This window comes from Homo sapiens, chromosome 5 (assembly GCF_000001405.40).
Source record: "Homo sapiens chromosome 5, GRCh38.p14 Primary Assembly".
Classification (NCBI taxonomy): domain Eukaryota; kingdom Metazoa; phylum Chordata; class Mammalia; order Primates; family Hominidae; genus Homo; species Homo sapiens.
The window spans coordinates 90,197,046-90,209,421 of NC_000005.10; the positions used below are offsets into that span (position 1 = coordinate 90,197,046).

The 12,376-nt window shown below is 36.0% G+C and overlaps 1 long non-coding RNA gene across 1 annotated transcript in view, besides 1 other annotated feature; it reads right to left on the reverse strand.

Annotated features, from left to right (window-relative positions):
* Window positions 1-12,376, reverse strand: part of LINC01339 (long intergenic non-protein coding RNA 1339) — a 131,733-nt gene that overhangs the window by 38,707 nt on the left and 80,650 nt on the right. The window contains exon 4 of the long non-coding RNA NR_120601.1: window positions 3,422-3,483. This is a non-coding gene — a long non-coding RNA (long intergenic non-protein coding RNA 1339). The remainder of the gene's footprint in view (window positions 1-3,421; window positions 3,484-12,376) is intronic.
* Window positions 11,633-12,249: an enhancer, noted in NCBI's record as "H3K27ac-H3K4me1 hESC enhancer chr5:89504495-89505111 (GRCh37/hg19 assembly coordinates)". NCBI's record gives its function as "activates a minimal SCP1, AML or CMV promoter by ChIP-STARR-seq in primed H9 embryonic stem cells {active_cell/tissue: H9 hESC(primed)}" and the evidence as "EXISTENCE:reporter gene assay evidence [ECO:0000049][PMID:30033119]".

Consider the following 12,376-nt stretch of genomic DNA (forward strand, 5'->3'; position numbering starts at 1 on the left):
TCCTCAGATAGTTAAATCCTCATTTGTATAAAACATTTATTATACTTTGCCATTTATAAACTTTATTTCAGTCTGTTTTGTTATATTAACTAAATTTGGTAAGGAATTTTATTAGATTTTTATGGAGGGTGGGGACATAAAAATTAGACACAATTAAAAATCTTATACTTGTTTTAACCATAAAGACATTTGCCATTCTTTCTACTTTTGCTATATGTTCCTAGTAACGTGTAGAATTCCTCTTGTACTTAAGTGTTCTAAAGTTTTAGCATCATACTGGTGAGGAGCCTTAATAAATCCAAAGCAAATTAGCCGGTGTGAGTACTCTCTACGCGTATGGATCTGACAGACTGCTAAGATGTCATAGTACAAAGAAGTGTACTTCTCTTCCTGATAAATAGACTTGCATTTTAATTTTTTATTAAATTATTTGATAATAAAGACAAACAATAGCACCCTAGCGTCTTTTGTAGAAGTAATTAAGTCTTTGCAATAAGTGATTTCGTGACAGCTCTCTGCTATTAATAAATTTTAGTGAGAGTAGAGAGAGATTGTTGAGGTTGGTCTGAAAATTATTGGATCCTTAGACTAGTGAAATGAATGAGTTGAGCTCTACTGTATGAAAAATACTTTCCATAATAATTTGTATGTTAAACAGTTTATAATGATTCTGGCCAGGAGCACAAGAAGCCACCATTAATTTATACTGATAACCCAGAGCTAGCATGTTCCTTTATCAGGCAACTTCTGAAAACAAGCCCAAATTATTGTTGATGTTTAATATTAATTAGGTTCTCTCTTGCCCTGTGGCTTCCTCAAGTAACTCTCTGATAGTAAATCAACCATGAAATGGCTAAGTGTGGCCTGAAACGATGTGTGTGCTATCAAGGAGTAATGCAAAGGCAGAATTGGATTAACTGAGTCTCATAAACATCCTATAGAATATACTCTCTCCTTACCTTCTAGAAGATTACATTATGAAACCTGACATTCATCATTGACACTAGGTTTTTTTTTTTAGAACAAACATCTCTTAGATGAATACTAATTGCATATTAACAACGTAACTCTCCTATTAAACCTTCATAGAAAAGCAAAATTGTACAATCCATTGACAAAATAATTCCTTACCATTAACCAAGCAATAACCTTCATAAATTTCCCGAGCATATTCAGGCTCAAGTCATGCACTGTAATCCAACATAGTATCCACTTTTGGTGTTCTATACCACATTCAGCTCTGTCCAGCCACACTCCCTTCTAAACAAGCACAGCAGATTTACAGCCACTACATCCTCTGATTTCCCCAGAACCTCTTCCCCACTCCTTCCTGATAGGTCCCGTAGTCTCTGAATCCAATTTGCTTCCCACTGTCATTCTACTTTTATCTCCTTCTACTCTGCTTTAGACTAGTTGCCAATGTTTCATTGACTTTTAGAAAGTTTTGTTAATGGCCCATTAGGGTTTTTTTGTTTTGTTTTGTTTTGTTTTGTTTTTCCTTCTGAAAGAGGAAGGAAAGCTGATTTCAATGATCATGTTTTAGAAGCAAGCAGCTAAATGGCAACCAGACTTTTAAAATGCCAAAGGTCATCAGTTCTCCTGTGAGTTATTATGCAAAAAGAGTCATTGTTTCTTCTTTTACTTTGTGGCAGCATTATAAGGTCTCTTTCTGCTGCCCTAGTTTAATTTGAACCTGGCCTCTGAAGGCAGATGTATATATGCAGGGACCCAGAAATGGAGCAGGACCCAGGAGGGACTTGATCCTGCCATAATACAGATTAAGGAAAATGTAGCTTCTGACCTCAAAAAAAAAAAAAAGGTTTGAAGGCTAGTCTTATTAATGATGATTCACTGCAAGTGAGATAAAACAACAGACAAATAGAATCCTAGAATCGTATAGCAAAAAGGGGCTTAAAAAAAAGATCATCTAGTCTGTTTGGCCATCTAAAAATGCTCCTCGAGTGTCTCACAGACAAGAAAACTAATTCCTTGGGTATAGGTCAGGCACGTGAGAGCATGATCATCATTCAAGAGTTTTATTCACCATGCAAAAAAGCAGGCAACGCTCCGAATGAAGGGTTGAAATAGCATGAATCCAGGGTCTGGAACACTACCAAAGAGTTAATAAAGTGGCTAACAAAGAACAAACAGCTAAATGACCTACCTGGACCTGGTCAAGAGAAAAAGCTGAAATTACTACCTGCTGTAGAAATATGACAAAATGTTACATTTACAAACCAAAGCAGTCTCAGAAAATGTAACAACCTTAGCTGTAAAGTGATGGGTTAACAATCTCCACTTTCACAAAGAATAAAAAGTAACAGGCCAGAATAACAGTGATTTGAGCAATGCATGAATATTCAATTCTCCCTGTGATGAGAAGTTACATTAATGATGTGAGGATTTAACTGACAAGCAAATGCTGAAAATGAAATCCTTAATGGAAAGAGAAATATTTTTCAGAAACCCATTGCAGATAATAAGTAAATTATTACCAACTTCAATAAAATATGATGATGCACATGCAAACCTTTAATGTCTAACATTAGGCATTTCTAAAATACAGGTTTCAGAGAGATGAGCACCTTTGTTATGCTCCTTTTTTTTTTTAAAGTATCCACTTCTCCTCGAGATTTCTTTTAGCTACTAATAAAATTAAAGCTGTTAGAGTCTTAAAGGTATTCTTTACTTTTAAGGAATAAGGAAAAGTAGAGGCTTATCTTTCTTCCCCACTAATAAATACAATTTTTAAAGTAGTATGTGACTACAGTTTTTTGGATATGTCAATAAATGCATATTTATAAGTTATAGATTAAATTTTACTAAGAAATAATATTTAGATTTCCATCAAGTCAGGTATAAAATAGAACTTATTTTATCACATTTTAAAAACAAAGGCGTTCAATTGTATTCAATCATTAGGTGTTACGTTGTTGTTCTCAAGGACCAAAAAAAAAAGGCTTCTTGTTAACAGTGTTAGTTCACAGAGCAAAATGTATTTGGAATACATGGTGGGATGGCCCTTCTGGAGGAAATGCTCCAGCAGAGGACCATTTGTCAGCCAATTAGCAGTGTGAATTTGGGGAGAAAGTAATTCCTTTTTCATTACTGCTTTAGTGTTGGTCTATTAATGGGATAAAAGATAAATAAATAATTTTTAAAAAATTTAATCTCTCAGGATGAAAATCCAAAGATCCTACTAAAGGAGAATGGAAAAGGAAGTCTGAGGTAAGGTCATTTCCAGTGTCTCTAACAAATAAACTAAAATGAAAGATCAGTTGGTCCAAAGAGGTGGAACCTTGGGAGCCCCAGGATTCAGAATTCTTGAGAGCTTTCTGGCTGCAACAGCCTTTAAAGCTCTGCAGATGTCTGATCAGAGTAGATTGTCCCTCTTCGCAGAGTGACCTAACACGACTATTACCTCAGTGGAAGCCAAGGAAATTCACCATTGAACTCTTGGAATTATCGTCCTGATGCATCCCCCTGGAAATAATAATAGGGAAAAAGGAAGTACCAAAATCAATTGGAAAATATTTGTTTTTCTATCCTCATGTTCCCACATTCAGTTAACATGATTCTAATACCTCTGATAAACTTCAAGATAGGAAAATTATCAAAAAATAAATTGTTTTAATACTGAATATGACAATGTTATGTTAGCATAATAATAGTTCTAAGAAGTCCTAAATTTTAAAAAGTCTACATATTTTAAATGAGTAATTTTTATTGTACACAAGTGTTCCACTGGACATACTTTGAGAAATATTGCCCTAAGTAATAAAAAATGACATGAATCTTCCTTTAAGCAAAAATAGACCTAGGGTTTGCCTGCTAGATTTCTGTTTACTCAGGATTTCCTCTGTCTTTCTACCGTGTCTTGTGATTTATAATGAAAAATGAGTTCTTCTTCTACCAAAAATCAACTTAAATTAGTGAATGAAATTATAAAGGTGTTTAGTAACTTAGTTTTGACAGAGGTGAAAGCTAAATTAAAATGCTAAATGTTAGTGGAAAGGGAAATGTGGTCAACGTACACAGGACATGACAAGAACTGGACTAAAAGGTGTCCTCCCGGTTTACAGCCCATTATATTAACCTCGCACACAGTCCCAGCCACAGGCCCACTTCTCTTCATGATTCTCCAACCCTCCTGTTCATCCTCTCCATTATCCTATACTCTTGGAACTCCTGACTTCTCAAACATTTCCCTTTTCCCCACCTTTTTTTTGGATTTTACTTTCCTGGATAGATGTTCTGATAATGAACAGTTGCTCCCCCTCAAACGTCAACCACCACCCCACCACCCTGTTCTTGGATTCGGATCCTGTCCTTAATGTTAAGATTCACACTTCCCACTTCTCTTGATTCATCAGAAGAAATCAAACAGATCACCCAGACTCTAAACTGCTCATCTATACCTCATTCTTCACACTAGATTCACTGACTCATCGTCTCTTTAATAAATGCTCCTATATTTATGTTCTTATATCACTAGGGAATTACACAAATGAACATTGGGACATAAGACCTTCAAATAAAAAGTGCTTATATTCTGTAAGTAAATTTTGTGTTACTGAAAATGAGGTCCTCTTATTTATTGTAGTTTCTAACATACATGGACAGAGGGGAGGGGTGGAAATGAATGGGCAGCTTTTCCCCAATTATGAAAAATACAAATCACTAATTCAAGAATTTAAAAAACTCAGGTATTCTTTAGAAAAGGTGGGGAAAGGGAAGTAATGAGCAACAGAACTCAAGGAAACAAACTGTGGGGAAAATAGATAATTTAGCATAACCTTACAGAAATCCAAATCACCTTACAATCTCTCTCTCTCTCTCTGTCTCTCTCTCTCTCTGTCTGCAGTCAATCTATAGTCTTCTTTTTCTATCTAGAGACAAGATTTGGGGTACCACGAATATTTTTTATTTTAGTCTCATGATTTTTATGTATATGATGCTTCCTGCCAAATAGTTGAGCCATTAGAATTACACATCTAGCCTGTAACACTGTGTGTTGTCCTTTAGTTGACCGTCTGCACCAATGAAAGGCACTGTTGTTAAGACATGTCCCTTTGCCCTTGTGGTTACCATTTTACTCCAAACGATTTCCAAGGGTGAAGCTATTATATTACTTCAGCTACTGTATTCACCCTATTGAGTCATATTTTGGCTACAAGCCTAATAAGAGGCAGAGTCAATACTGAATTCAGATGAATTTATGCATCTATATTTTTTAAAGATACTTTTATAACAAGGAACTACTGCCTATTAAAAGCAATGTAATTGACAATTATGATATCAAAATAATGTAACACACTGGTCACTTGATTTAAGTAGCACATTAAGAGAAAAAACATTCTTATGTAAATTTCTTTTAATCTGTCATTGATTTTAACATAAATTCAGATATGTATTTTGGTGGCAAAAATTTGGCCTTTGTATGTAGTATGTGTTATAAGTAAAAATGGGATTTGTATAAAATCAAATATTTAAAATAAAAAATAACATTTTTGATTAAAAACTATGCAAACCTTCAAAATTATAATAATGTAATAAACACAAAGATAAAACAAAAACAAATAAAATATACTATACTAGAAACTAAAAATACATGTCATGTGCTTCATATGATGCTGCTTCTATAGAGAAAGTAAGTTCTAATTCTCAAGTATTCTACTTTCTACAAATCTCAAAGAACTTCAACACTTGAGACAAATGTTTTAATTTTTATTTGCACAGTAAACACAAACTGAAGAAATGTGTCTCTCTCTAAGCATTTGCATTGAATAGTCCTTGGAATAACTGCTTCTATCTTGGTGTGTTACCTTGGACAATTCATTTTAAATTTCTGGTCTCAGTTTCTTCATTTATACAGTAAAAAATAACAGGAAGCATAGAGTTCAGTGGTTTTTATGGTTTCTTCAAGATGCTTCAGAAACAGCAAGAAAGAAATTGAATTTTATTTCTATTAAATATTGGTCCCACACAGGGATACCATGAAAAACTGAGTTAGGGTTTTAACAGATCCTCCCAAAAAAAACATTTTAAGTAACTATACAATCTAAGTAGAAATAGTATGCTTACTATGCAAACACAGCCTCAAGACAAGTCCCTTGGCCAAAACATACAGGTTGTTGCCTCCAAATCTCTTCAATATAGAAATTCTCAAGCCACCACTAAATCCACTACTTCATTTTTTAAAGTTTTGTTTTGTTCAATTTTTTTAATGACTAGTATAACCAAAAGAAAATGGGTTTTGTGGTTAGACAAATTGGGGTTCAAATCCCCAGTCTGCTTTCTATGAAACCCTGGACAGGTTTTTCAATATTTCAGAGCTTTGGTTTTCTCATTTTAAAACAGATAATAATACCTACCTTACAATGTCACTGGGGTAATAAATAAAATACTGCATATAACTCAAATGTTAAAGATTGGATGGCTTTCTTTGGACTATAAACTTTCTGATAACTCCCCAGTTCTTTGAGTGGCACCCCTAAGAATTATAGTAATTCTTGAGGCAATTACACACATTGTTATCCTTTGCCTTTGTGCCTCTATCTTCCTCAGATATTACCTCTGCTTCACTCCACATGAAAATCAATATTCTTTTAGTTTTCACAGGCATTCATAAGTAAAAATGTGATTACATAAGGTAGTTCATATATTTGTCTCTCTTCCTAGTTTCCTCTCCCTATGTGCCTTTCCATTCATTTCTCCAGGATTGGCCTGACAATTCTAAATTTTTCTTCCTCATTATGAAGAACAATTTCTTTTGATGTAAAGCTTTGGCAATAGATATCATTCGTATCCTGATGGTAGAGACCTCACCTAATTCACATATTGCCCTTGTATTATTTTCAACAGCTACAGAAAACATATTTCTAGAAAGTTTTAGCATTGTGATTATCTCCTCAATATTTATTCCATCAATTTTTTTATATTTAGTAGTCGTGCTGTTTAGGTTTAGTTAAGCCTTATTACTCAAAGTGTGTTCCAAAGGCCATCCACTGTCAACATCACCTGGAAACTCATTAAAAAAGCAAAATCTCAGGGTCCATTCCAGAATAATGAGCTCGAGCCACAGGTAACTTCATCTCTCTTGCCACACAATCTTCAAAAGTTCACACAACTCAAGCCTAAGCCAATCACACTTATAAATTCCTAGTCTCAGGAATCAGTTTAAGATGTGTAAAACCTTAAGACTGTCCAATCAGTGATGCTTATGATTTGTGTTTTGTGTTTGTAAACACAGACTTTTTCTTTCCCCACCACACCATCCCTCAAATATGCATAAGGAAGTATGGCTCTCTGGTTGCTCTATGAAGCCACATTGTAATAGTGAAGCAACAAGCCTGAGGACAAATCTTATATAAAGAGGGTCTCATAAGTCTCAGAGAAATGGAAACAACTGTGATGAACTGCCCTCTGAAGCTCATTCTACCTTTCCACAACATAACCAAACTAATTCAGATTATTTTTTGAGGCTAGCTGGAAAAACTATGGCCTATAGGCCAAATCTAGTTTGTATTGTTGTAATCTAAAGAATTATTTTTAATTCTAAAAAGATGTAGAAAGACATGAGAAGAGTTCAAAAAGATGACAGAGTAGGAAGCACCAGAAATCTGTTCCCCCACCTGGAAAACAATTGCATTGACAGAATTTGTCTAATATAACTAGTTTGGAACTGTAGAATCTATTGAAGAATTATAACTTCCAGAATAAGGCTTGAAGACAAATTGCTGTTGATTTGGGTCTGTTTCAGCTCTTATCACAGTAGCAGGTACCAATCCCCCACCCTCAGCCCCACAGCAGGCAGTTGTGTACCTATTCCTGAATCAACAAGTACAGAGCTTGTAGGAGCCAGAGTGAGCAAAAAGTGTCCCATCCTCCAAATATCAGGAATCTGTGCTCTGATTACTGATTGCTGCTTCTATTACAGAGGTGCAGACAAAGGGGTAGGTGGCCATTATTATTGCATCTCCCCCAGTTGCTACAAGCCCTTCAATCCTCCAGCTGAAAGGACTTCCAGGGGATTTAAAGGGCCAACACCCTTTCTCTCCTCTCACTTTTCCCTTTTTCCTTTTTTGGGAGCCAGATATTAAGGACCAGGACATTCAAAAACAACTGCATATATGGGGGAAGTAGAAGGTGACCATGCATGCCCAGGGAAAGGCACAGACTCAGAAAAGACCTGAGAAGACCTTAAGTTCACACCTCAGGCTTATCCTTAGCACACAGACTGCCTTCAACAATCAAAAAATAAAAATAAAAATAAAACTAACAAAATTAACAAAAAAACGGCAAACTCTAGAGAAGGAAGAGAATCTGATTTAAAGAGTTAGCACATTATTAGATTCAAATGTCCAGTTTTCTACAAAAAATCATGGGCACATAAAGAAACAGGAAAATATGGCCCATTCAAAGAATAAATCAATCAATCAACAGAAACTGTCCCTGAAAAGGGGCTAATGGCAGATTTACTAGACAAACACTTTAAAACAATAAAGATAGTCAAAAAACTAAAGGAGATGTGCAGAAAGTCAAGAAAATGATGAGTGAACAAAATGGAAATATCAATGAAGAGTTAAATAACCTAAAAAAAAAACAAAAAGAAATTCTGGAGCTGAATATTATAATAATTGAAATGAAAATTTCCCTAGAGGTATTCAAAGGCAGATTTGAACAGACAGAAAAAGGAATCAGTAAACATAAGGCTAGGACAATGAAATTACTAAGTCAGACAAACAGAAAGAAAAAAGATTGAGGAAAAGTGAACGGAGCCTAAGGAACCTATAGTACAGCATTAAGCAGACTAACATATGTATTGTGGGAGTCCCAGGGGAAGAGAGAAAGAAAACAGCTGAGAAAATATTTGAAGAAATAATAGTTAAAAACTTCTCAAATTTGATGAAAGACATAAATATGAATATAAACATCCAAGAAGCTCAATAAACTCCAAGTATGGTGAACTCAAAAAGATCCACATCAAGACACATATAAGCAAACTTTTGAAAGACAAATAATCTTGAAAGTAGCAAGAGAGAAGCAATTGATCATATATAAGGGATGCCCAATAAGATAACCAGCAGATTTCTTATGGGGAACTTTGAAGGCCAGAGGCAGTGGGCTACCACTTTCAAAGTACTAAAAGAAAAAACTGTCAGCCAAGAATTACATATATGGCAAAACTGTCTTTCAAAATTGAGGGAATAATGAGAACATTCCCAGATAAAAAAAAGCCAAGGGAGTTCATTACCACTAGACCTATGCTATAAGAGATGCTCAAGGGAGTCCTACAGGGTGAAGTGAAAGGCCAGTAGACATTAACTCAAAGCCATATGAAGAAATAAAGATCTCAATAAAGATAAATACATGAGAAATTATAAAAGCTAGTACTATTGCAACAATGATTTGTAACTTCACTTTTTGTTCTCTACAGTAACAATATTTAAAAGACATACTTTTAAAAAAATTATTAGTCTAACATCTAATATTACTGTAACTTTTATTTGCAACAACTACACATTCTGTTTTCTACATTTTTTAAGAGAGTAATGCATTTAAAATAAGTAACTATGTTTTGGAGCACACAATGTATAAAGATATAATTTGGTGACAAGAACTAAAAGGGAGGGAAACATGAGTGGTAAAGAAGCAGAGTTTTTGTATATGAATGAAGTTAAACTGATATAAATTCAAATTAGACTATCACAACTTTAGTCTATTAAATGTAATCCCCAAGTTAATCATGAAGGAAATAAATACAGAATATACAAAAGAAAATGAGAGAATAATTTAAACATAAGAATTTAAATGTTTTACTACAAAAAAAATTAAACAGAAAAGAAGACAATAATGCAGGAAGTGAGGGACAAAACCAAAAGGCATGTAGAAAACATATAACAAATGACAGAAATATATGATACAAACATATATGGCATGGTGAAAACAAATAGCAAAATGACAGAAATAAGTCCCTTCTAATTAGTAATAATGTTAAATGTAAATGTATTAAACTCTTCGTACAAAAGACAGATTGACAGAATTTCTAAACTTTTATGATCAAACTATATGCTGTTTATAAAAGACTCACTCGTTTTAGATCTTAAGACAAAAGAGACTGAAAGTGAAAGGATGGGAAAAGATACTTCATATAACTAGTAACTAAAAGAGACTAAATGTGGCCATGTTAATATTGGACAAAATAGACAAAATGAGACAAAGCAAAAATATTATATATTAATAAAAGTTTTAATACAATAAGAAAATATAACAATTATAAACATTTATGCACCTAATAACAGGCTTTCAAAATATATGATGCAAAAACTGACAGAATTTAAAGGAGAGATATAAAGTTCTACATATTTTAATAACTTACTCTCAAGACTGGATAGAACAACCAGGAAAAAAAGTAAATAAAAGAAATAACTTAAACAATAAAATAAGCCAACTAGATGTAATAGACAGATGCAGAACACTCCACTCAACAACCACAATATACACATTTTTCTCAAGTGCACCTGGAACATTTTCTGGGATAGACCATATGTTAAGCCACAAATTAAGTTTATATATACATATATGTGTGTGTGTGTGTGTATGTATATATACATATATATATATATAAAAAATTCTTTTTTCTTGAGATGGAGTCTTACTCTGTTACCCAGGCTGGAGTGCAATGGTGCAAACTCAGCTCACTGCAACCTCCGCCTCCTGGGTTCAAGTAATTCACCTGCCTCAGCCTCCCACGTAGCTGGGATTACAGGCACCTGCCACCCTGCCTGGCTAATTTTTGTATTTTTAGTAGAGACGGTGTTTCCTCATGTTGGCCAGGCTGGTCTCAAACTCCCAACCTCAGGTGATCTGCCCACCTTGGCCTCCCAAAGTGCTGGGATTACAGGCATGAGCCACTGTGCCTGGCCCAAGATTCAATATATTTTAAAGGTTGATAATATACAAAGAATCTTCTCCAACCACAGCAGGATAATCTTAGAAATCAATAAAAAGTAAAACAGAAAAATTCATAAATTTTTGGATATTAAACAATGCACTCAACTCATAATATTGTTGTTAATCATTATTAAACAAGAATGGATCAAAGAAGAAATCAGAAGGGAAATTAGAAAATACCTAGAGATGGCAAAAACAAAAACCTTACATCAAAATTTACAGCAAAAGTGGTGCTGAGGGAAAAATTTATACCTATAAATGCTTGTATTTGAAAAAACAAAGATTTCAAATAAACAACCTACCTTTACAACTTAAGAAACTAGAAGATAGTATAGGGAGGAGCCAAGATGGCAGAATAGGAACCGCTCCAATCTACAGCTCCCAGCCTGAGCGACGCAGAAGACAGGTGATTTCTGCATTTCCATCTGAGGTATCGGGTTCATCTCGCTAGGGAGTGCCAAACAGTGGGCGCAGGTCAGTGGGTGCGCGCACCGTGCCGGAGCCGAAGCAGGGCGAGGCATTGCCTCACTCGGGAAGCGCAAGGGGTCAGGGAGTTCCCTTTCCGAGTCAAAGAAAGGGGTGATGGACGGCACCTGGAAAATCGGGTCACTCCCACCCGAATACTGCGCTTTTCCAACGGACTTAAAAAAGCGGCGCACAATGAGATTATATCCTGCACCTGGCTCGGAGGGTCCTAGCCCACGGAGTCTCGCTGATTGCTAGCACAGCAGTCTGAGATCAAACTGCAAGGCGGCAGCGAGGCTGGGGGAGGGGCGCCCGCCATTGCCCAGGCTTGCTGAGGTAAACAAAGCAGCCGGGAAGCTCGAACTGGGTGGAGCCCACCACAGCTCAAGGAGGCCTGCCTGCCTCTGTAGGCTCCACCTCTGGGGGCAGGGCACAGACAAACAAAAAGACAGCAGTAACCTCTGCAGACTTAAATGTCCCTGTCTGACAGCTTTGAAGAGAGCAGGGGTTCTCCCAGTACGCAGCTGGAGATCTGAGAACGGGCAGACTGCCTCCTCAAGTGGGTCCCTGACCCCTGACCCCTGAGCAGCCTAACTGGGAGGCACCCTCCAGCAGGGGCACACTGACACCTCACACTGCAGGGTACTCCAACAGACCTGCAGCTGAGGGTCCTGTCTGTTAGAAGGAAAACTAACAAACAGAAAGGACATCCAAACCAAAAACCCATCTGTACATCACCATCATCAAAGACCAAAAGTAGATAAAACCACAAAGATGGGGAAAAAACAGAACAGAAGAAATGGAAACTCTAAAAATCAGAGCGCCTCTCCTCCTCCAAAGGAACGCAGCTCCTCACCAGCAGCAGAACAAAGCTGGACAGAGAATGACTTTGACGAGCTGAGAGAAGAAGGCTTCAGACGATCAAATTACTCTGAGCTATGGGAGGACATTCAAA